Source organism: Homo sapiens, chromosome 13 (genome assembly GCF_000001405.40).
Source record: "Homo sapiens chromosome 13, GRCh38.p14 Primary Assembly".
Taxonomy (NCBI): Eukaryota; Metazoa; Chordata; class Mammalia; order Primates; family Hominidae; genus Homo; species Homo sapiens.
This window is the reverse complement of record NC_000013.11, coordinates 62,003,525-62,031,247: the sequence shown is the minus strand read 5'-3', so window position 1 is coordinate 62,031,247 and position 27,723 is coordinate 62,003,525. Positions and strand designations below refer to the sequence as shown.

The window sequence follows — 27,723 nt, the reverse complement described above, 5'->3', positions numbered from 1 at the left end:
TAGGCTGCTGAGCTATTAATGAAATTCAATTTCAAACCATGTTTCATGGCCAACCGTGCTGGTTGGATGCAAGAACAACAAGCACAGCACTTTTAACAGCCCTCTCTGGATGAATTAAATAAGGATGATAGAAAAATCCCATGTATAGCAAATAAAAAGACATTGAATAATGGAATCAGACCAGGCGGCAAGGTAGTTCATTGTCAATATCTTACGATCGTAGAATATAAGCCTCTACAGTGTTTGGGCATTCTGTGATTCATGAAATGATAAAAACAATGAGGTGAAAGACAGTACACTTGTTTTTTTTAATTCTTATAGTTATCTCATAAAAATGAGGAAACTGACAATTTTTTAGTACCATAAAATGTCCCATTGAAATTTCACTAAATACTTAGCTAAAATTTTACATCTTTGACCTACTGTTTGGGCATTCTGTGATTCATGAAATGATAAAAACAATGAGGTGAAAGACAGTACACTTGTTTTTTTTAATTCTTATAGTTATCTCATAAAAATGAGGAAACTGACAATTTTTTAGTACCATAAAATGTCCCATTGAAATTTCACTAAATACTTAGCTAAAATTTTACATCTTTGACCTACTGTTTTTCCTTCTTTTAATGGACAAAAGCTTTCTCCTTTTCAATTAAATGTGATAGGTCATATGCATGTATATTATTATTTTACATGTAATATTTAGATTTTTTTAATTTAAATTATAACACGGCAATCCTCCATTATTTTTTTTATTTGGTAGGATTCAATAGTTGCTTTTACTCCTTCCATTTCTACTACAAATTTACATTTTACTCAAATATTCTTATATTTACATTTTACTCAAATATTCTTATATTTACCCAATTAATATTATTTTATATACTTACGTATATTTATATACATATATTTTATATACTTATGTGTATATTATATGTAATCACCCTTTAAATCCAATAGTATGATTGATTGCAGGATGCATTAACTGAAAAACATTTTCTTAATGTGGGACATTTTCTTTTCAATCACAGTTTATATTTAATATGTACATAGCTTTAATTTTTTGTAGCTTTCTTTTCTTTCTCTGTTACTTTTGTTAAAATTCAAGCAATAGAATTCGAGAACTTTCATATCAAAAACATATCATATTATTTATTCCTTAACTTTCATTTCACAGGTAGATAATTAGGGTTCAGAGATACAGTCAAAGACTGGCAGTAAAGGTCAACAGTATATTCCTAAAAAATAAGTACTGGGGATCTAATCTCCTTAGTTCTTATTTTTATAATCTAAGCCATAATATTGGCAATGAGCAAATAATAATCTTAAACTAAATTGTTTCGTCTGAGTTTAGTGCTCTAGTTTTTCAAACTGCTCATTGCTTCTCTGATGAATAGCCCTTTAAAAAGAGGTGACACGGAGTTAAGATATAAAAGAAGTCAGAATTAGTATATATATCTCCAAGCTATCTGTCACTTCTCCTTTCTTAACCCAGACTGATCGATCGGTTGATTGATATAACCCAGCACTATGCATTCCTGATGCGTATTTGAATCAATTCCTGTTTCGGATTACTAATTGGCCTGCTTCCTTCTCCTAATTGCACTTTGTGAGGACTACTCTAGGCAACCAGCTTTGTGAGCTCATTAACAGCTTTGTTCAACCTCAGGGAGGTTAAGGCACTCACTCAAGGTCACACACCTAGTTAATAGGGAGTCTAGCTTCAAACCCACATCTGACTGAATCTAATTCCACCTACAGCTTTGAAGGCTCAGAAAACATAACTGCTTGAAAAACTGAGTTAACTCTATGACTGCCAGGACAAAAGCTTAGGATTTAGAAATGAAACAATGAATAAGTAGACATTTTGCTCTCATTTTGTTATTTTTTACTTTATTTTCCAAATATGTTTAGGTTAAAGAAAAGAACATGGGATTTAGAGTCAAATAGGCAGGTGTTTTGATTCTACCCTTGCTAACCCTGTGACCTTTGGTAAGTGTTTAAACTCTCATAGCTTCAGTATTTTCTCTACTCTGATATACACATGGGTTCTTCGTACATAATATGTTCTCCGTAAATGTTATATAAAGGCTTCATAAGAAAATGAATAATGTACCTAATTATAGCTACAGCTTTGCAAATTCAGTGCATTTAACAACAATGATAATCAACTTACACGAGCACAAATTAAAGTAACCCTCCTTCAGGTTTTCTAATATATTCTAGTTTATAGGTATATGTACTGTTTCTACTTATCAAGGCTTGAAACATAAGTGTTGAATTCTTAGTCTTTAATGCTATGACATTTGGGCGATGAACAGATTTTGATAATTGTACCCATACCCCTACAATATCTTTCATATGTACCTGCTCCTTGCTTTCCATTCTCATTCCATTTCTGCCGATGTATTGCAGTGATTCTTATAATCATTCACAAAAGTTTACTGACTGCTCACTATGATCTTGTTGAGAAAAATATTCCCTACCTGCACTTTTCTAATTTGTCTTGAGTTCTTAAGTTTTGGAGGTTACATTTTTTGAAGTAAGGATTCTCTTTCTCCCTTTGTTTTTATTGTTTTTAGATAATATTTGTCAGAAACTGATTTCATTTGAATAACTCTTTACTGACATAGGACTTCCTTCCTTCCTTCCTCCCTCCCTCCCTCCCTCCGTCCCTCCCTCCCTCTCTCTCTCCCTACTTTCTGTCCTTCCTTCTTTTTTTTCTCTGAGTCTTGCTTTGTCACCCAGGCAAAGTGGCGCAATCTTGGCTCATTGCAACCTCCACCTCCTAGGTTCAAGTGATTCTCCTGCCTCAGCCTTCCTAGTAGCTGGGACTACAGGTGCTCACCACCACGCCTGGCTGATTTTTGTATTTTTTTTTTTGGTAGAGACAGAGTTTTGCCTGCAGTGAGGTGTTTGGCCAGGCTGATCTCAAATACCTCATGTCAGGTGATCTGCCTGCCTCAGCCTCCCAAAGTGCTGGGATTACAGGCGTGAGCCACAGCGCCCAGCCTGACACAGGACTTTCATGTCTCATAAATATTTCTGTTCTTTATCTTATGGTTTAAAGATTATTCTAGTCAAGATATATATTCTGGATATAGTTAAAATCATTAATTTTTCCTTAAAATTTTGTAAAGTTTGAGTCACATTTGGCTTAACCTTTACATAATGTTTTGTTTTAGTCATGTACATTTATTTGCTAAGTGTTTCTATTCAAAGACAGCCTCCTCTTCTTCACCAACCATCTATTGTGATCTATTACAGCATGGTTGCTATAACCATGTTGGTTTTTATCACATATGTCTTCTTTATATCTTTATTTTATTAATTCATGATTACGAAGCCATGAATTTTCTTGGCAACTTCTTATTAGACCTGAACTATTTCTTTGTCCTTTCAAAGTCCCAGAGAACACTAGAAATACCAAGTTACTGTTGACTTTCCAGTACCTTCAGAAAATAAATAGCACACTGTTTCTTTTGTTGTTTTTTAAGGTGAGTATTTATCAAAATCATCAGTAAACATGATTTTGACAAACATACATTTATGCTTACTCACTACTTTCTTTATCATTTTCTTATCTTACCCTGATCTAAATGGAAGACTAGAACAAACATTGTGCCCCCTTCATCATCTGGATCCTTATAAAATAATTTGACCCATGAAATCTTATCTCTTTTGCTCACAAACTTCATAAGTGAAAAATGAACTTATGATTTTGTTTTTGTTTTTTTTTGAGAAGGAGTCTAACTCTGTCACCCAGGCTGGAGTGCAGTGGTGTGATCTCTGCTCACTGCAACCTCCACCTCCCGGGTTCAAGTGATTCTCATGCCTCAGACTCTTGAGTAGCTGGGATTACAGGCGTGTGCCACCATGGCTGGCTAAGTTTTGTATTTTTAGCAGAGAAGGGCTTTCACCATGTAGGCCAGGCTGCTCTCGAACTTCTGTCCTCAAGTGATCCATCCACCTCGGCCTCCCAAAATGCTGGGATTACAAGCCTGAGCCACGGCGCCTGGCCAGATTTATACTCTTTTTTGATAGAGGGTCGCAGACCCCTCTATTCTCTCCTGTGATCTGAGATATTTCCTTCTCAGGCCTTCGATAATCATTAGTTTTGAGTGTGAGCTGAGGAGAAGAGGAAGTTAAGGAAGATTTGTATCTAAGCCATGCATTATCTGATTTTCCACCATTTCTTATACTGATATTTTAGGTACAATCATAAATTATCAAATGCTACCTTGCTTTTCTTTGTGACCAACCATTTTGTTTTTTCTCTCCCCAGGGATATTTCTAAATAATTGAGGGTTGTGGCCTACAATTCTGTTTTTCCTAGTTTCCCCCCAACCCAATAATGTTATTTAATTACCTTAATTAATAACTGCTTTGTTTTGACCAGTGCAATGACCAGTATGATTCTGAATATATACATAGTTCCAAAATAGCATTAGTAGCTATTGGATCTTTAAACAATTAATCTTTTTTTCTCTCATTTCTGTTGAAGACGTTGCTAGACAAAGTTGTAAAAGAGGTTCTGTGATAATCTCCTTGACAACAAAATATGTTCAATGGATATCTATGAACCTAGAGAAATATGCATCCTGGATTGTAGTTCTCAAAAAAATAAATGTTGACAAAAGCATTTAGTATACATATGCCCTGCTGCTTTAATTCTTTTGTGAGTTCTCATACAGTTTGTAAGGTTTCCTGTATTGTATGTATATAATAAATTTTAATGAAAACCTGAAGCAATATTTGATTGCCCTAAATTTATCCTTCCATATGATCCAGGTTGTTCCTTGGATATTTATAATTCCGGAACTAGAATTTATAACACATACATCAGTCTCAATCATTTCTATTTTCTCCTGTGCATCCTCTGAGTGCAAGAATACCAGTATCTAAATATAATCCTCAGTGTTCCATTTCAGCCAAGTCCTTTGCAGAGAAATATTAGCTTTCACATAAGCCTTTTTTTAAAATCTTGTTATTCTTCACAGTGTGATGGTTCTCCCTGTCACTGAATAGATCTTCATTTAGGAATTCACTATGTTATGATTTTTGTCCCTTAAATTTAGGCACAGTTTATAATAACACTGAAGATGAGTTTATTCTTTAAAAGAATAATGGAACATAATACATTTATCCACATTTATTCACATAAAATAACTCTACATGCCTTGTGGGTTTATGTTGTGTTATATTTTTTCAAGTGTTCCTATGTGTGTTCATGGGAAAATCTAGAGCTGCCTGCCCTGTTTTGACTCACAGAGCAAAGAGAATAGCAAGTGCAAAAAAAGTAATTCCTAATTTTACATAGAACAGTGTTCACTATTCACAATGATTAAAAGGAGGGTTTTTCATAGTTACTAAACATCACACAAATACACATGTGAATACAAGTATTTTAGTTGTTAATTTTCCTCACTATCTTAGATATCTGTCTTGTGTAACACAGATAACATGATTGTTCAGCCCTCACTCTTTCAGTGTTGAGTGTTTTCAGGTTCGCCTTCTTGGTTTTTATTTGAACGTAGGCTAGGCCTTAGGCCATTTACGTCTGCTCTACCTGTTCTCCTTCTGGGACCCAGACTTAAGAAGCAGTATCACTTTTGCAATGTGTTTTTCTCATGGTGGAAGGTGAGCATTCAAAAAGTTCAGTAGAAGCTTTTGATGTTTCTTAAAACATAAGCCTGAAACACTTATACTGCCACTTTTCTTTCTTTCATATTCCATTGGTCTAAGAAGGCTAAACCCCAAGTGAAGCGACCAGCAATAAATACTCAGGTGACTCTAATGGAAGCCAAAGCAATGCCATATGACAAAGGCATTGGATGTTCATTCATTTTCCAAGAAAGGGGTAAAAGGTAGGAAACCATAATATAATCTCTAAAAGACAGATACGGTAGAAAGGCTTGCCATAAATATTTAACCTGAACAAAATAAATGCCACTTAAATAGCACTCATTTTTATTTAAGGACTTTTCTCTTGTTGGATTCTCCATTAGCAGTGAAGCATTCTTTTAGAATAATAGTGGAGGTAAATAGATGAGGTTATTAAATGAAGGTGGTCATCTCTCCCACATTGTTACACCATTTCTGGATTCAGAATGTCACATTCCTATATCACATTACCCACCCTTAAGCAAAACATGCATAGGATGAGGAATGACATAATGTCTTTCTTGGCTTAAGGGCACCTTGACTAAATGACACAAGTATGTTTAATTTTCCCCCTAATTTTCTGTTCTAGGGTATTTTATAACCAGTGTCAACTCATTATATTCCAGAAAGATTAAAATTAAGATTTCCTTTGGTTACGTGCAAGAAGAACAATTGGGAAAGGGGAATGTGTGCCTATTTTCAGACACATCTATATTAAGAAAAAACACAATTTAAATTGATTCTCTTAAAATCGTTCAAGCCTGTACAGTCCCTGGAAAGTTTTTGAACATTTTTAAGGGGTCCAGTCTGAAAACCAATTAAATATGTTATATTGAGCAATTAATTGGAAAGTGAAAAACTATGATCCTCACAAGTAGATGCTTAAAAATAGTTAACACATGTCAACATTAATTTGTGATTTAAGGAGAATGTAGGAAAAAGAAATAAAATATCTTTAACTTAAGAAATGACATAAATTGAAAATAAACAGTATATTTAGCATCGAAGTGAACTGAAATTAAAATAGGAAGAAAATAGCCCTTTTCACCATGCATATTCAAACTTTCATTAGAGGCCCTGGGCTATGCAATAAAATCAAAAACAATGTAAAAATCACAATAATTCATAAAAATGAATAAAAACATTTAATTTTAATTGACTTGATTGACTACATAGAAAATCCTGAAACTCCCATATATAAGCAATTTAAGTTAATAAGAATATTAATCATATTTGTTAGATAAAAATTATCAAATAAAATAAATATTGCTCTTTGATTACAGACAATGATCCCATTCAAAATGGATAACAAAATCAATAACAGCTAAGAATAAACCTAACAAAAGGCATACAAAGCTTCTTAGGAGATGGTTCCGAAATAATAAAAAGATATAAAAGGCAGTCTTATCGTTCATGGACTGGAATACACAATGAGATAATACAGTCTCCCATCTCCTAGATTAATCTCCCAAAGTGTTAAGACTTTTCCTAGCAGAAATATACAATAAAATTATAAAAATGAAGATGGTTCAGTATTGCTGAGGGGTAGAAACATCAGTCAATGCAACAGAAACTACATTTTAAATTAGACCAACCATATATAGAAAACTTGATAAAGGGCAGCAGAGGTATTATAAGTAATTAAGGAAGAGTTAAACTAGATCAATTAGGATACAAAAAATGTATGGTTTTATACAATAGGCAATGTCATAAAGAAATTGTAAGCAAACACACCCTGGAAGATGGTATAACACATAAAATTAGCAAATATTAATATCCAAAATGTTTACATATCAAACTCATTTAAACCATTAAATTTCCAATTATTATTATTTTTTTTAAGAATGAAAAATTTCCAATTATTTTTAAGACATGGAGTCTTTCTCTGTATCCCAGGCTGGAGTGCAGTGGCAAGATCATAGCTCATTGCAGCCTCAAACTCCTGGGCACAAGCCATCCTCCTGTCTCTGCCTCCTAAATAACTGAAACTACAGGAGTGAGCCACTGTATCCAGCTTCAAAAATTTTGATTCATAGCCAAGGTTACCCAGGCAGTTCCCAAATAATAGCCAAGACAGTGACAAAATTTCTCTAGTACATCATTTAAAAAAACAAAGAATGCAAAACCAAAATGACTAAAATCTACTTTTGCCTTAGAAAAAGGAAATAAGCATGGACCTATCAGTTTTTTATTTTATTCTGTCTACAACAAAATTGCAATATGGCAATTCATAAACATAAATATCTTACTATAGTTTGTATTAAAGCAAATTTAAATTATTATCAAATAAGACTTTGAAATTTAAAAATTCTGGGCATATGACATAGAAAAAAAAGTTCTTAATTGAAAGACTTTTCCATTGTTTAATATTTTATAGCTGTTATGCAAACATACTCTCAACAAAGAAACAGTTCCATGTACTTTCAACATTTATTTTCTATATGTCATCATAATATTTCTCTCTTCAAAATACATACGAAGGAGTTGAAAATATGGAACAAACAAATTCTAAAAAATAATACTATAGAATTTTATCAATCTTCCTGCCTTCCAGTAGCACACCCTCTTAGGATGTTTAAAATTGCCATTGGTCATCCCTCTAGTTCTGATTTCCTCAGAACTTCCCTGCCCTAAAGCAGATATCCAGAAGCCATTAGCTCATGGCTTTAGCCTTGCCCAGGACCTGGACAAATAAGCACCAAGAAATTCTAAGTATTTAGATTTGTATCCTTGCTGACAGGTAAGGCTTGAAAATATTCTGCAGCCTAGCCATGTAATCTGAAGTGCTAGCATCAAGTTTACAGAGGCCCCATTATGGCATATGCTGCAGTATCCCACCTGTACTCCGTTCTTTATTTTATTTTTGTTTTCATCTACAATATTAGGATTTTGTTTGCAATTTGATCTAATTTCCTATTGTGTCTGTAACCCACCCTGAGCTACAGTTCATTTTGTGAACTTCTACATCCTTCATGGACAGTAAAATTTGCATTTGATTGCTTGCCTTGAACATGAACTCTAATTTAACATGAATGAACATTCTTGCCAAACCACTCTTTGGTGAGTATGCCTTCTGAGACTGCTGTTCTCATAGAGCAGAAGGTCACCAAACTATACAAAGTGATTAAACCCAAATTTTGAAAACCACATTTTGGAGCTTACATCTTCCTCTGTAGAGTTGAACATTTCTTCCCCTTCTCCATTTTCTGGCTGATTCTTATTTCTGGTAGATAAACCACCATGAAGGTCTCATCCCATCAGACAAAAGGGTCCATGTGAGCTTTGAATTAATGCTTTTTTAGAGCAAATAGATTACAAAACTGTGGTCAATGGTATCAAAGAATGCACCTAAAAATCAATAACTCTGATAATTTTTCTGAGCAAATTGCTGTGGAGATTCTGAGAGCTTTATTCATAAATGCTTGTGTGTATTAGTCCAGTGGAATAAGCATCAGTTTAAAACCGAATTGTTCATGACCAGTTTAAAACTTATTTGTGATCTTACAGAAGTGACATTCTGAGCCCCATATTTATTTTCTGTAAAATATAGTAATTAAGACACTAGCTTTCTTATATTGCTACAGAAATCAAGAACAGTTATAGTGTTAAGTTCTTTGCAGATGTTATAAAAATTATCCAGTATTTTGATGAATTAAATGCAATATTTAGCCTACTTTCCTGTTTAAAACTCCAACCAAAATTTTAAACTGTATTTTGTAATATAATTTTATATGTAATTAAATATTCTATTGTTTTATTTAAATATTTAGGGGAAGTCAGGTTACTTCACATATGAAACAGCTTGATGCAAATATGTTACCAAATGAATCATATTAAAAACCTGAGCTCACCATAAGGGTGAAACAGACCGGCTATCTTTCAACTATACTTATCAGTGCCAGTTAGCACAGAAATATTGAATATTAGCAGATTCTTGTGGCTCTAGTGTATGTTATCAGCCTGTAGGCCAGTCTGGAGAAAAATAAAAGACAGCATTTATTTTTTCATTTAACAAATATTTATTGAGCAGTTGCCATGTGCAAAGCTCTGTTTTAGATAATGGGAATAGAGCAGGAAACAAACCAAATAATGTTTCTGCCCTCAAGATATATGAGTAACTCAAGAGACATAAACACTTGGACAAATAAATGTTATGGTCGACCTTTGTTAAAGGGTCACAAATTTCATTTCCCTGTTCTGAGTACACAGCATAGAGACTTACATTTTCCAGCCTTCCTTTCAGTTACAATGGGAGTTACAATGGGACTGGATTTTGGCTAATGGAAAGAATTGATATATGCCACTCCTAAACCTAGCCATGACAAGCCCTGCATTGTTTCTCTCTCTCTCTCTCTCTCTCTCTCTCTCTCTCTCTCTCCTCACTAATTTACTGGCTTACTGCTGAGGATGCTCTAAAAAATGGCAATGGCAGGGCACAGAATTGAAGGATTTATGAGCCAACAGTCACTGCTTGGAGCAGAACCCTCTAACAAGAGTCAGAAGTGTAATGTCAGCAAGAAATCTACTTTTACTGGACTTAACCAGGATTTTTTTTTTTTTTTTTTTTTGCGGGTAGGGGAGCGGTGTAGATTGTTACAGAAGCTGGAGTTCATTACACTCCCTAATGCAAATGTGTAACTTACTGAAAGGTAGTTATAGATACGTAAAAATTAAGAGAAGAGGTTGTGTAGAGGAAGGCCATGCTATTCTAGATAAAACAATTAGTAAAGGCTTTTGTCTTTTGCTGAAGGTTGAACAAAGAGGTGAAGAAAGAAACCATGTAAATATTTGGGGAAAAGAAAATTTGTAGGTACAAAACACCCTCAAATGCTATAAAGCAAAACTGTAATTCACATTTTTTTTTTTAACTTTAAGGTCTGGTTTACATGTGCAGAATGTGAAGGTTTGTTACATAAGGATTACGTGTGCCACCGTGGTTTGTGGCACATAACGACCTGTCACCTAGGTTTTAAGCCCGGCATGCATTAACTATTTGTCCTGATGCTCTCCCTCTCCTCACTTCCAGTCCCCCAACCCTGGTTTGCGGGGTTCCCCTCCCTGTGTCCATGGGGTCTATTGTTGAGCTCCCACGTATGAGTGAGAACATGCAGTGTTTGGTTTTCTGTTCCTGTGTTAGTTTGCTGAGGATAAGGAACAGTGAAAGGGGATATAGTTGGGAATGTTGGAGAAACAGCTAGGGGCCAGCTCATTTGGAGGCCACAATAAGGACTTGAAACTAAGAGAATTAATCAAAAAGCTTCCATTAAGATTATAATTACAAACAACAAAACTGTGATCCAATTAAAAAGAGATATTTTGCAAATGCTAAGTCAAAATTTCAGGTATTCAGAGATGCTTTTCCTCACAGAGAAGAACAAGATGCTACTTGCAGGTAGCATCATCTTTAACACTAACTCACCCATTCATATTCATTCACAATGCTGTAATATCATTCAGATCTTCCTTACTTGGGCCATATTGTCCTTCTCCTTAGCAGTAATGTTGCCCTAGAATTTTGATGTATACAATTCCTGAAGTCTAAAACCATTAAATAATAGCTTTAGATAGTTTTCCATAATGATCATTAGCTATTCTTCCATTATCTGGAAGACTGTTTGCTCTGTACTTTATATTGGATATTCTTATTCTATAATATCAATAGCAACTAAGCAGTCAATATAAATAAGCTCATTGTACTCCAAATCCACTCTCTCTCTGTGTATATGTAATATTATATATTATATATTATATTATATATAATTATATAATATAATATATAATTATATATAATATATATTCCTGAAGTCTCTCTATATATAATATATTATATTATATATTATTATATATTTATAATTATATATATAATTATACATATTATATATTATTATATATAATATATAATATAAATTATATATTATATATTATATATAATATAAATTATATATTACATATAATTTATATTATATATAATATATATTATATATATAATTTATATATATAATTATATATAGAGAGAGACTTCAGGAATATATATTATATATTATACATTATATATATTATATATCAGGAATATATATCAGGAATATATATTCTATATTATATATAATTTATATTATATAATTATATATTACATATAATTACATATATTATATATAATATACATTATATATAAAATTATATATATTATATATATTATATATTATATATTATATATATACAGAGAGAGAGAGAGACTTCAGGAATTGTATACATCAAAATTCTAGGGCAACATTACTGCTAAGGAGAAGGACAATATGGCCCAAGTAAGAAAGACCTGAATGATATTACCGCATTGTGAATTAATATGAATATATATATATAGAGAGAGAGGTAGAGAGAGAGAGAGAGAAAGAGAGTATTCTTTTGTAAGAGAGAGAATAAATATATATAAAAAGAATATATATATATTTCTTTTTAAAGCAAAAACAATATCAAAACATTTGCTTTTCAAAGTTGTATTATTTGGTTGCTTTAAAAATCCTAAAGAACACTAACAATAATGAGACTTGTTCAAGGTCACATATATTGTACGTGCCTGCATTGGTTACAGATTCAATTTGTTTCTGGCTCCAAACTACTCAGTTGCTTTAGGACAATGCCAAGAAAGATACCTTTTATGTGTGAAAGAAAATATATTTTCTAATACATAATGGGTCATTTTAGATTTGTAACTTCCTGTTGATTTTGATTATATTTTCTTTTAAGCATTAAAAGAGAGCTAGCCAGATATTTTTAGCATAACTAGATTTTACTATATAAATTTTGCAGTGAGAAGCAAAAAGAAATTATTATGTCTATGAAATTAGTGTTGATTATAAATGCTTCTCTTCATTCACCATTACACATCATGGTAAAAAAACACTCCCATCGGAATTGCTTTAAGAAACAAAGAAAAGTAAAAATTTATTAATCAGGACATTTAAAAAATAATATATAAATAAAGAGTTATTCAAATATTATAGTTAAATTATGGATTACCTTTTCACATATTGAATGATAAATCCACCAATTAAATGCACCATACCTGTAGCAACATGATTTAACTTCTGTGCTGCAAAAATTTACACTAAAGAATATGAAAAACCACCACCAAGCAATAATAATGATAATAATAATAATTGGTCTCTTAATGGGATGGTGCTTAAGATGTCACTGAGAACCTCTCATATCAAACACATTATAGTACATCATATATTTTCACTAAATTTATAGTATTTAAACAAAAATGTATATTCATTCACTCCATAAGCAATTCTTCTCTATTAAAAAGTAAGACAAGGCAGAAAAGTTGAGTCTAAAATCAGTAATAATTATTCAATATTATATAGTAAATTTTCCACTTGTACTCCCTTATTGAACTTTAATATTATAAAACTAAGTAAAGAAAAATAATGATTTATAATATGCATTGATAATAACTAGTATTCATGTTTTTGAAATGCCTTTTGATATATTTACTATATATGATTTTTACTTATATTTCAAAAAATAGTTTATTTACAATGTTCTAGTATTTCAGTTTTGTATCATGATTAAAATAATTCTTTCTTTTTGGTTGTCATTCTTCTTTTTCATTATAAAATATGCAAATAAACCAGTATGGCTCTATAGTAAAGAGTTCAATTGGAAAACTACAGAGTTTCTTAATGATTTTTTTAATATCAGCATTCTTCAGTAGTTTTTGTTTACTTAAGAAGAAACAGAAATGTAATTGGGCTTTGGTGCACCAAAACTCATCATCTGAAACAATTACCATTAAGAAAATAGTTTCCCATCTTGTGGGTTTTATTTTATTTTCCAGTGCTGTACATAGACCGTTCAATGCCTTGCAGAGAGCAGGAAGTTGGCATTATATTTTAAAAGAATACATACATTAACAAATAAAACCATACTTTTATAAGAGAGAGAATAACTTTTACTGCAGGTTGAATAGATTATGTTTCTGAAAATGATGCAAGCTAACAAAGAAATTGAATGTTTGAGAAAGTGTTTTTATCTTTATCTATCAATCAATCAATCTATACACACACACACACACACACACACACACACAAAATGAGCTATAAAAGGATATCTCTTAAAACTTAGGTATGTTTTTAAGCCTAAACTACATAATTTGCAATACTGTGATAGAATATGGTACAATTAGCATCTCAATTTAATTTTCATGACTGAAAAGAGTACGACATGTAAGGATTTTGGATAATTAAGAAGTAGGTTTGAGATGGCTGCTTTCACTGAACAAGTAGGTGTCCTTCCTCTCTCACAGTTGCCAAAATTACCCTCAAAATTATGTCCTTTAGCAAAAAGATCAACTCACAGGTAAGAATGTTTTTTCTTTTTCTTTGAGAGACTGACCCTGGTTGGATTGTCAACCTTGAGTGTACAAATAATAATACAGTTCTGAAATCTTAAAAAAAAATTTTATTAAGAAAACACACCACCATAAAAATAATAAATTAAACATGAATAAATATTTTTAAATTGTATTTTATTTTTAATTGACAAATAATAATTATATATGTTTATGGAGTACAATGTGATGTTTTGATACATATATACATTGTGAAATGATGAAATCAGAGTAAGCATATCTATCACCTCAAATATGTCCTATGTATTTTTATGAGAACATTTAAAATCCCCTTTTAGCTAATTTGAAATATACAACATATTGACATTAATTATAGCTACCTTGTTGTGCAACAGAATATCAGAACACATTCCTCCTAACTAACTGAAAAGACTATTCTGAAATAGCAAGTATATCATGTTCAAAATAACTGGTAAAAATTGAGATCTATTGTTCTGTCATGAACAAAAAAAACAACCAAAAAAATCTTTTAAAGTTTATGTCCTAGAACTATCCCATAGAAAGCTAATGCAAGCCAAAATTGTAAACCAATGTAATTTTAAACTTTAAAATAGTCATATAAAACATCAAAAGGAAATAAATTAAAATGGCTTAATTATGTTTCATTTAATCAAAAATATCCAAAATATTATCTTTTTAACATGGAATCAATATATGATGACTATTAATGAAGTACTTTACATTCTTGTTTCTATACTAATTCTTTGAAATCTGTTTTATATTTCAAACTTACATACATTTCAGTTCAGACTAATCATATTTTTGGCTCTTGATAGCCAAATCTTGCCATTTTATAAGTGAGAAATGGCATTCCAGAATTGAAGTGATGGACCAAATTGTAAATGGTTGAACTATGATTGCATTAGACTTTCTTTGACATGTAATCAATTCAGTATTTCTATCCTCTCTGGCAAATAAAATGATACAGCATGTATGCAATAGGTGGGAGAAATGATGTCCAGCTTCTTCTGTTGGAGTAGTTTTCAATTGTTTCATGTTATCTGTTATGTTTTGTTTATTTAATTAGTTTATTATCCTTAAAATAATTAAGAAGAAGAAGAAGTGGAGAGTCAAAAATTGACCTGGATAAAAAAGCTAACTATCAGTAATTTATCAAATAAAGAAATTATTTTTGCTGTATCTGCAAAGAATAAGAATAACAATCCAAAAGTTTATTACTGGGAAAACAAACCTAAGGTACAGTAGGTCTAAAACATAGTTAATGGTAACAGATTTGTGATAAAAATTCTTATACTAGGCAGCCTAGTAGAATTTTCTTTAATTGATTCTGAGTAGATCCTGCTAATGAACATACCCCACACACTGTAATTATGTTTTATATTAGAGAAGGTGAATGATGGAGTTTTAGTTCTATCAGTGAATTTTTAGACTGCGGGTTCTCATAATGATCATTGCATGCATTTCAAAGTGGGTCGGTTTTTCACTAACCACCTTCATTGTTACCAAATGTATTTAAAATAATCAAAAGCATTAATGGAAACTCAAATCAAGCAGTACATGACCCCTGGGATTGAATGGGCTTGTACAGTTACAAATAGGATTTGGGGTCATCCTTTGCCTTATCTTTAAAACAGTTGTTGTTCAGGAGAAGAATTAAATGCTTATTTTTTTACCTGTATAGAAGCAGAATTTGGGGCCCTTAGGCTGCCTTTCTTCCATGTCAAAGATGTTAATAATGTATCTGCTTACCAATGTGACAAAGAATATGTATTGGCTGGGTTATTTTCTTTGAACTGAAGCAAACACTGAAAACTTTCATTTTATCATTAAAAATCTTTCCCATATAATTTTGCCATATCACACCCCCTGTAGAGCACTACAGTCTATGTTAACTCTGGGCATAAGAAATTCATGGACTTTCCCCCGGTTAATAAATAATATATAAAATATACATATATATATATCAGTGACATAATCTCTTGTGTTTATGTGGCTGAAGAAATATGTAGGTGGATACTTCATAAAAATTGTATAATTTATACATTTTTAAAATTGGAAACCTGAAGCTGAGCTAAGTAAAAAACACTGCCAAGTAAATATGAAAAACTGTGACCACTTTAGGCGAGCTTTCTTTTGAGAGAGCAATATACTTCTGAAGGAAAGTTTTAACAATTATTATACATAATGTATGTCATTGAGCTATTTGTTTATCAGTATCTGAAAATATTGTGACATCAAATATAATTGAACAGTTACTCATGTTTGTAGATGCATTTACTATTAATTTTGGTATAAACACATCAATTACATGTTAAAATACTTGCATTTCCACCAAGAACAGAATGTTACAATTCAGTGGTCATCATGCCATGTAAAAACATGAACGGTCATACAAAAACTTGTTTTTTTGAGAGAATAAAAATAATGTGTGTAATTGAAGTAATCTTTTACACTGAGGCAGAGATAATTTAAAAATGAAAATAATAGCCTCATCGTCAGTCTCCAATGCCATGAAATTTGTGTTAAAGATCTTGTTTCTCTTTGCTACTTAGCAAGGACCCAAGCCATCGGTAGCAACCATTGTGTCTAATTTACACTCTTTATGTCAAAAGGAGAAATGAAAACTAGGGAATGACAGAGGTGAATGAAGCTGTCCTTCCCTTAATTTTATTTAATCACCGTAACCAGCTCTCTCAACATATGCTCCAGGAATAGTTTGGTTTTTATATTATCCACCAGCACCACCAAGTGGTAAAATTTTTATTTTTTCTTGTACAGTGATCGTTGAAGACAAAACAAAATACAATACTGGAATAATATTAGGACTAATTAAGGGCCTCAGTTATATCCAACAAAAAGTACATCCTAGAATCCCCAGGGTTTATTAAAGAACTGTTGAAAAGCTTACATTTCAAAAATTAAAAAAAAAACAAAGATAAGTTTAAAAATAGATTTTGTGGTTATGCTTATTTTTCTTGTGTTTCTTTATATTAATGCCGATAACATAAAAAGGTAAATTAAGAGATGATTTTACAAAGCAATTTATTTTAATTTTATTCCACAATATATACAATTTTACTCTAATAGCATAAATTATACTTTTTATGATCAATATTATTCAATTTGCTGGTAGAAATTTGAAGAATTAAAAAGTGTGCTGTGAGCTAAAATATTTGTTACTTGAGTGAAGTAAAAATGAACTGCTATACAACACTTTTTATAAACTCATGTAATAAAATCATTTTGTTTAGTGATAACATGAAAACAACACATAAATTCTTTGTTTACTAGGAATAAAATTGCATACATATATATGCTTAAAATATTTGTTGAAAATAACACAAATTTTAGGTGTCAACATTTGGGGGGGTTAACTATTTAGATATTTAATTTTCTAAAATATATGTGATTTGCAAAAATAAGCAATGGCAAAACTCAAATCACACTAAAATTGTATTCAAATTTGCCAGGTAGAAAGTGCGAGAATCCCAGTTGCAAGTTGTATTATAACTATCTAGGACGTGAGGGGACTTGAGCACTAGTAATGTGCTCAGGTACATTTCAGTACTCAAGATAAATTAAAATCTAAATCTATTAATACTATTCTACCTTAGAAAATATTAGTGCATTTCATATTGGAAATGAAATGTGTCTGTTTTCAGTATTAGTCCAATTACTCTTAGGGTTGCTTTGTTCAAATATGGAATATTTATATCTCTCTACTTATGCTGTTAGATTGTCTTGTCAAGTGATGATGCATTAAGGACAATTAATATCAAGTTTCAAAATCATTAATAGCAAAGGTTAACCATATAAAATTATTTTGTTCTCATTTATAGCTTGAGCATTCTTCCTGTTGATCAAACAAAGCAAACTTTATTATATTACTGCCATAAAACAACACCACCTTGACAGAGCCTATCATGTCTTTCAAGGAGGAAACAGTGTTTCAGATGAATTTTAGCTCTGGTCTGTATAAATTTAAGAAGGGTTTTCCCATATGGGGATCTATTTAGGATTCAATGTAGCTTATTATCTAATAATTTTGCATTGATGGGCATAGGGAGGCACTTGTTTGATATGTGTGTGTATTGATGGTTGAGCCATGTATAAGTCTTGATAATGAAATTATTTTAGTTGATTCACAGTCGAGTCTTAAGAAGAAATTATTTTGCAGAATGAAAACAATTTTTACTTAATTCCAATGTTGGTTAGTACAAACACAGCTAAGTATACTTTATCAAATTATTATTTAGACAGGGACAGGTATACATGTTTGGCTGAGAATTGTTTAACATAAAAAGAGTTAAATATGGTTTTAATTCTTACTTTATTTCTGAAAACAAGAAGAAAAACATCAAAAAATTATGCTATTACAACTGCTGAAAGAGAATTCATGTTGGATCACTTACATTACTACATATCTTGCAAACCGAGGCAGTGATTTTATTCTGAACTATCTTTTCATAGACGTTTGCATACTGAGCAGCCTTGGGAAGTAGAATAAGTGGCTTCTTCTGGAGAAGAGACAAGGGATACCAAAGGCTAAAATGGTCTTAGCAATGAAATTCTCACTGTCTAATATGGAACATTGGATGAAAACATGGGAACATTTATTTGGTTAGGCCATAGTTGTTACTATGCCCTCAGTACACAAAGTAAATGCAAAGCCCTTTTCACTGGAGACTTCACTCCCTCTGTGTGCCCTTATCAATCATTTCCCTTATATCCAGAATGCTGGGACTTTATAGTGAAAGATATAAGGTGGGGATGAAAGATAAAAGGTGAAAGATATAAAGATTGGGCTAAGCAGACACTAACATCAAGAGAATCAAAGTCCATATGTATCCATCTGACTATGCTTCAGAATTTTGAACGAAGAGATTTAAATAATTATAGTTCTGTTGGATATGAGACCCAAACTTGCCATCCTACCCATAACTGTGGAAGACAAAGGTACACTTATTCAACTATCAGTGTTTGGGCAGGATTCACAGTGAGGTAAGAAAGCTAATAAGACCCCGTGGGCAGGGTCCTTTGGGTAAATTCATTTTATTATTATTGATTTTATATAATAAAGTTTACTGGAAATGAATATGTCATATGCTTGTGCCTCCCGTCCCATAGTGCCAGAGAGCATTCTCTCAATCAGAAAAAGCCACATGTATAGAAGTGCTAATGAGACAAATACATGGCTAGCCAATATGCCTCCCTATAATCTCCTGGGGGATTCAACATAATCAGTTTAGAATGCCAGGAGGAGAAAGGAGAAATCACTAGCTTAATTAAAGATTTAAAGGCAGTAGAAAGTAGTATGAGATGCAATATCTCAATATGCCCTCTGTTCCCAGTGATATAGGAAGCTTGCAATGGATTAAGTTGTTGCTCCTACGGCTCTGGCTGTTCCATTGTACTCAGAAATATCAGGATCAAGATCCATTAACATGCATGTCACAAAGGCTCCAATGTATTTTTGTAGTACTCCTACAGGACCATCTAAACTTTCCAGCCAGCCTTGAGTGTGCCAAGATTTAGTGTGAGTGCCTCTACCTTCTGATGTCAAAGCTTCGACTATGCAGATAATGTTCTGTTGGATGGCAATGACTCGGATTCAATGCCCCTGACCTTGGCGCTATCACACCTCCTCCAGAAGGTTGGAATGATAAAACCTGACAAAAGTTAGAGCACTGATTGGCAAGTAAACTTTCTTGGAAATATGTCAGTGTATTCACAGTGATTAATTCCTCTGGCAGTCAGGAAACAACTTCTCAGCTGCCCTCCACATAAAAATAGCTTCCCACCTACTATGCTCTTTATTATTGGAAAAGGCTTGTGCCTCACTTGGGTATTCTACTTGTTCCTTAGTCCTTAAGCTAACTCACACATTAAATTTTTTGGTTAGCATCCAAATCAGTAGACATAACCCAATAGAAACTGTCCAGCAAGCTGTAATATACTCTATATTTGGGGCACCACAACACTTGTAACTTCTTTGAACCACATGTCTCTATGAATGATGATTCTGATATTTGGGGCTTCTGGCAAAGAGAAACAGCTTCTGTTTAGAGGAACGCCTTTTGTTTTGAGCTAGTCTTCCATACATTTGTTGTTACTAATTGTACTAATTTTTAGAATAATCTGTTAGCTTGCTATTTTGTTCCTGTTGAAACTCAACTTCTGACACATGGAGGTCTGTGACTCTCTGACATGATACTGTCATTTGGAGGTGGATCAACTTAAACCCAAGAGTTAGCAAGTCAAGCAGTATCCAACAAGACTTACTTGTTAAATGGGTATAAATATTCAAGAATACAGACAACAGATTATCTCACCTTTGCATGAAAATTTAGGAGCTGTCACTTTAGAGGAAAATTTACTCTTGACTGTGCTACCTAATGTAAAGCTGTTGAATCACCTGGACTCTCAATTAACAGAGATTCCACTAAATTCCATGCCTGGTTCAACAATTATTTACATAATCTGAAACGTGATGGTGTCCATGAGGTTGCTATTGCTGTTGATCCTCAAAGACAAACCAAAAATTGATATGGTTGTCTCCCTCAAGGTCATTTTCATAGCTCTGCCCAATACTTAATGAAATTTGTTATCCTTCTACTGACCCTTGGGTCTTTGCTAATGGTCTGGCTCTTTATCTGGCATGCAGAAAACTATAGGCTGGTAGATTTAAGACACATCTGTAGGACCACTTACTATAGAACAAATTGCAGTCTTTGAACAAACCATCTGGGCTACACATTTAGGTGACAACTGTAAGGGAACATTCTCTGAAGATGCTGAATGAAAACAAATTGCTGATTAAATAACACCCAAGTTCCCAACATTTCTGCCTATATACGTCATCATACCAGGCATGGAAACACATTGTCCACACAGATTGGGCTCTAAGTAAATCTGCATTTCCAATGCAGAGGGTACAACTATAACTGCTTGCTATATATATATAGAGAGAGAGAGAGCAAATATATATAAAAAGCCAATCTATAAAAACTATATAAAAAAGATTGACAAGAGATTTTATAAGTTATATAAATTACCTTGATATATATATATACACATATATATATACCACTGCTTGCCATATATATATATATATATATATATATATATATATATATATATAGACATTTGACAAAAGTTGACCTAATTGGGATGTCATTGTTCCACCTGTTACTGGAAGATTGACTGCATATGATTTTTGAGCCCTGTCTGAGAGGTACCAGTGATGATACTTTCTCAGGTTATCAGGTTATGATGCTGCTGCTGCTGCAGGGTGATCAGCTGATTTTGGCTGCATCACATTAACTCTTGAAACTATTGTTTATCATAATTCCAGCTTTTCAGGTCATTTCCCAACTAACAGTGGTGCACCTTTTATCTCAAAAGCCACTGAATGCTCATGTCAAGTTATTTAATGGGACTTCCACATTTCCACCATTCATTTATAACTGGTATTGTTGAGCACTTGAATGGTCTCCTAAAAATGCATTCAAATATTCTGACTATCTTGTTGACTTCTTTGACCCTACTAAGGCAATTTGGTCTCTAAATGTGTTACCTTCAGAAAGTGATTATCTCCTCTCAGTCTAGATAATGATGAAGATAAAGGTATAGGTAATACATAGGCTTTTTTGGAAATTTGGAATTCCATCCTGACTGCTCCTGGACATTATATTTTCTTCTTTCACCTATGGCAACCAAGTCTGAAGTGGTTAGTAAAACTTTCAGGTATCAACGTGTCCTGCCCTAACAATGTCACACAGTTAAAAGAAGGCCTAGGGCTAATCTGAAAAGGCTATATATTGCATGATCCCAACTGTATGACATTCTGAAAAAAGGCAAAATATAGACAGTAACAAGCGGTTGCCAGGAGTTGTGTAGGGGGAAATGATAAGTAAGCAAAAAACAAAGAATTTTTATGGCAGTGAAAACTTCTCTGTATAGTACTATAATAGTAGATACATGTTTGCTTGTTTGTTTGTTTTGTTTGTTTGTTTGTTTCTTTGAGATGGACTTTTGCTCTTGTTGCCTAGGCTGGAGTGCAGTGGCACGATCTTGGCTCACTGCAACCTCTGCCTCCTGGGTTACAGCGATTCTCCTGCCTCAGCCTCCAGAGTAACTGGGATTATAGGCATGTGCCACCATGCCTGGCTAATTTTTTATATTTTTAGTAGAGATGGGGTTTCTCCATGTTGGTCAGGCTGGTCTCGAACTCCCGACCTCAGGTGATCCTCCCGCTTTGGCCTCCCAGAGTGCTGGGATTACAGGCGTGAGCCACTGCACCCAGTGATACATGTCTTTATACATTTATACAAACTCGTAGGACATAAAATATCAAGAATGGATATAATGAGCTTTGGGTGATTATGATGTTCAATGTAGGTTTGTCAATTATAACACATGTACCTGCTCTTATGGGGAATATTGATAATGGGGATGGCTATGCAAGTCTTGGGGGAGGAGATATAAAAGAAATCTCTGTATCTTTCTCTGGACTTTGCTATGAGCCTAAAACTACTCTAAAAATAAACTCTTAAAAAAATGATGACTTAAGTGATTCAAATTTATCTGTTTCAATCACTTGCATTTTCTTATTGGATTTACATGGTCCTAACCACTATGGTTACATGGTAACTAACCACAGTGATAGTTACCATTTGTTGAATACACTCCTTGCTCAGTCCCCCTTAGACTTAGTCAAAGTAAGAGATGTAATGAGATTTTATAAGTTATATAAAATTACCTGGTCCCTCTTACATCTGATGTTCCAGAAGAAAGATCTATGTATGAGAAGAAGATTACTGGGCAAAAGAAAAATGTATAGCTACTGTAGTGGTACACCATGATTTTTGTAGTGGTGGAGGGAGAGCAACAACTCAAGTACCCTAGAGAAGAATCACCTTAGAACACAGGACATCTGGGACTGGGAGAGGCATTAGTGGTGTTTCTCTTTTGAAGCCACCTCTGAATCCTTTCTCATTAAGGAAGACACCCTGGTTCAGGTCTTCACACCATTGCAAGACCTTTAAATTGGACTCAATCTTGAAAATGTCATGTCGGCCAGATGACTCTCATCTATCAGAAACAACAGGAGATGTCCCCAGATCCTGCACTTCTCATACAAAACACCTGTCAACTACTATGGATGTTTTCTCCGTCTCCATTCTTGTTACTGTCACTTGTCATTCTACGTAATAGATGATTGTTGCCTGGCTGATGTCAAGGACAAGAAGACAGATTGAACTTATTGCCCTTAGACAGTTCTTGAAAAACAAAACTTGACTTGATTATTCAAAGTGGACTGTGAAACTTATGGCCTACCAAGTGGCTGGGAGACCATACTAGACACACTGTCAACCTGTACCTACTAACTGATGTATTTCCCTTGTATGCGTGTGGGGACAGGGGAGTCCCAATAATTTCAATGAACACTTTTTCTTTCTGGGGATATCAGACCACTGGGTTGTATTACTTATTTTAAGCCAGTCATTAAAACATCGAATTGAACAATGAGAACACATGGACACAGGAAGGGGAACATCACACTCTGGGGACTGTTGTGGGGTGGGGGGAGGGGGGAGGGATAGCATTAGGAGATATACCTAATGCTAAATGATGAGTTAATGGGTGCAGCACACCAGCATGGCACATGTATACTTATGTAACTAACCTGCACATTGTGCACATGTACCCTAAAACTTAAAGTATAATAATAATAATATATATATATAAAAAATTAAAAAAAGATTTTGTTAATATTTGTAAAAAAATAAAAATAAAAATAAATCCTTTTTCTGAAAACATAGCCACTTGTACCTTAGTGTATAAGAGACCTTTAGTGTTAAGGAAACACAACAACCCATCATGCCATTATTTAACTTACAGGTGGCTATGGTTAGCCCTCCAAAATGAGGCTACCTTAGGTTTCTTAGTTTCTTTACCATCCTGGAGGGATAATTGACCTGATAGTTGTAAGATTTGTCAGGTAGGACCCGAGAAGCGCTCAGTTTAGGGGTAATTATTTCCCACTACTGAGACTGCACCCTTCTGTGTACTCACTCAGTGCCCTGTGAATCATGAAGTTTTCCAAACTGGCTAATGAAAAGATGCCCCGTGAGTTCAGGACACTGGTATTATTGCCACTAATTGTTTAATGCAGATCTTTCCCTGGCCTCATGTGTTTTTCTCACACATATGTACTGATCAATATTCAGCTGACTATTCAGGAGGAACCCTATGCATATTTCTGCTGGATGTTACCTCCTCGTTATTACTCTGATTTGTGAACCACTGTTGTCACCTTGGTGTCAGTGACCTTTCAGCTCTCTCCTCAAAATTAGGAAGTCTCTTCGGCTCTGCCTGTATTCCTTCTTTCTGTGCCAAGGCCTGGAAACTCTCTAAAGGAAGGGAGCTTAGACAATCAGAGGTGTAACCTCATTTGCTTTTCATCTCTTACAATCACTTTCCTTGTGCTGCTCAGTGTGTTGAAATCTGCTGTTAAAGTGTTTTGGTATTTTTTTTTGTTTGTTTCATTAAGGAACGTAACTCACTGTTAGTGAATCTTAGGTTGAAATAGAAGTCCCATTTAATATTTCTTATGGATTTTAGTATGTTAGACAATTTTTATGAACAAACAAGGAAAACTATTAAATTTTTGAATGGAGTATCACTGAATTTACCCATTAACACATGTAAAATTCCTGTCTTCATGAAGTTGGGTTTTCTAATTCATTGTGATATTGTTTCCATTTATTAATGGATTTTTATCTTTTAATGCTGCTTTATCATTTTCTTCCTAAAAGTTTTGCACATTTGCACAATTTATTTCCATAAACTCTATAATGTTTGTTATTAATAAGAATATTAATCTCAATATATTAAATTTCCAGATTGATTGCTTTTGATATAGATAAGAATTCGTTTGGTTAAGGATTAATATTATATACTTGTTTCATTATATTATTAATTCAATGACTATGTTCTTCATTCTATGATTTATGTTTTTATGCCCTCATTTCTTTCATTTCTGTGTGATTTTGCTCCATTATTTCTTGCTATTTACTTCTGTGGGTAATCTCAATATATTTTTACTTAAGTATCTTAAATTATTTTATGATATTACTCTTTAAAGTTATTTGTTAATTATCTAGTTGTTTATTTGTGATGGCTGCCTTGGGAGAGTTGAATAATTTTTCTAACATATCTAATTTAGAATTTTGGTGTGCAGTATCATTTTGAGTGGGATGGCTTATCTTTGGTTTTATAGTTGTCTCCCCTCAGTTCTCTGAGGCCTTCAGTCTAGAACTAAAGCTTGTATGATGAACTCAGATACCTTGCCCCAGAGTGATAGTGAAGATATCTTGGATTCTGCCAAAAAGCCAGTAGGATATGTCAGTTCTTGATTTGAGAACTATACGAACATACACAAACACAAATGAACACACACAGGTACATATTATTCCACATATTTTAGTCCTTTTGGACTGGTATAAGAAAATAAATGTGCTCTCTTGTTATGTTCTCACATGGCAGAAGGCAAAAGGGATGTCTTTTGGATCTCCTATAAGGATATTAATCCAGTTCTTGAGGGCCCTGACCTCATAATCTAATCATCCCTCCAAAGGCCCTATGTCCTCATTCTAATGTGGTAGAATTTGAACATACAAATTGGGAGGTGGGGACATAAACATTCATAATGTGTGTTTGTGTGTGTGCATGTGTGTGTGTGTGTGTGTGTGTGTGTAATCTGTGTTCAAATCTCTCACATCACTTCATTTAAATCTAAGTTATATCCCAAGGAGGCAATCAACAATGTAATATTTAGCCTTATATTAGGAGCAAGCAGATTACACCAGTCATTGTTTTCAAGCAACTAATCCTTTACGTGACTACCTTTCCTAATTCTGTAGTAATTAAAACATGATGTGGTTCTCTCTATTGGTCTCCAGGCATAGAGTTCAATAGGCTGGTGGCTTTAACTATTCGCAGTTTTTTATTTCTATTTTATTTATGCTTCTCAAATGTATTTACAAACTTTATTTTTTTTTTCTCTTTGGTATTTTCCTCTTACTGCCATATAATTTTGATGTAAAATTTTAATATAGTGTATAAACAGGAAACCAAATGGATTCCAATGTAAATCATACTTTATGCTGTTATTTATTTAATTCATCTATTTACTTAAAGTTGATCATCTTCCAGAAACATTTTAATGTGGCTTACAAAGCTGTATTAAATGCAACACAAACAAATAATCTAAAATTGATAGGCAAACAGAGGAAATAAAGAAGGGAAAAAAGAGAGAAAAGGAGTAAGAAAGAATAAGGGAGAGAAAGATAAAGTAGCAGAGAAAGAAAAGGGGAAACATTAAAATGAATAATTATCTATGAACTTGATATAACTCAAAATGATTAGTTAGAAAAAATAGGGTAAATTACACACCTCAAAAGGTCAATGAACTAAAACCAAACTGATAGTATCTTAGCCTATTGCTTTCTTTAGACAGTAAAAATAAAGCGTGACTCTAGTCCCAAATGCCATGCAGAGGTTTAAAAAGAATACTTTCAGATAGTAAGGGGCTCTGATTACGTATTTTATTCTATTCTTCCTTAATTTGGGGAATAATTTATTTTCAACTTCACAAAAATTGTGAAATCTTCATATTCCTTACTTGATGTTTCACAGGACAGCCTACGTTGTCCAGTGGAGGCAGCCTTCCCATTCCAACGGACATTTGTGGGATATTAGAGACCAAGAAGTGTTAAGAGATGATCTTCACAAAATGCTGAGCTTGTGTGGGTGTCGAACTACAAACAGGAGGAGATGGATATTCACATGCAGTGGTGGAGGGTTATGGCTCTCCAGCCTGGAGGATTGGAGCTTGAGCCAGGTGAACAGTGGGTCCATTAAAGGGGCAGCTCAGTTCAGCAAGTCAGAGCCTGAACAGGATGAAAGGGGCAACCCACAAAGATGAGGACTGAATTGGAGTTACAGATCCCAGTTGGTTGGAGAGACCATTTTCCTGGAGGATGACCCAGTTTGGGAGTCACAGCCAGAGCTGGGATAAAAGATAATCCACACTCTTTTGGATATAATATGTATTATAATTTCTTTTTTCTCTCAAGTAGTTTAAAAGTTTTACACTGTTTTCATTAGTCACTAATAGAAACATATACAATAGTTTTCTGCATTCCATCAAGCTTAATATTAACAGATATGTTTACCCATCTCCTGAACATTACAAATATCTTAGAATATTAACCTCTCTTAGGATTAGTTCTATTCAAATGCATGGATTACTTTGCTGTGTAATTCCAAGACTCCATGATATTGATAATACTCTATAATAAAGTTAAATTTTCTCAGATTTATCCACATATTTACCACTTTCTTTGATCTTTAGACTAAAGCAATTTTAAATACCAGGCTTACTTTTCTTTATTCTAAGCTGGAAATGCATTTTTTTTGTAGATTTTCAGTAATCCCTTGTTATATCATTAACTCTTTGATCCGTTTTAACATGCAGTTTTCATCCATCCTTTTTTTGTTGTTATCTTTGAGAGAATTGATCATAGTGACTAAGCTGCAATACTAAATTAGAGGAGTTTTAAATCTTAATATAACTTTGGCATAGTAAAATAATTTAAACAATAAAATGAGTTCATATTGTA

General features: G+C 33.3%; 1 long non-coding RNA gene across 1 annotated transcript; it reads left to right on the top strand.

Moving 5' to 3' along the window:
• The first annotated feature begins 1,699 nt into the window (after positions 1-1,699).
• Positions 1,700-27,723, top strand: LINC00358 (long intergenic non-protein coding RNA 358). The gene is made up of 2 exons (NR_046995.1): positions 1,700-1,989; positions 26,738-27,723. It is a non-coding gene; the product is annotated as a long intergenic non-protein coding RNA 358 (long non-coding RNA).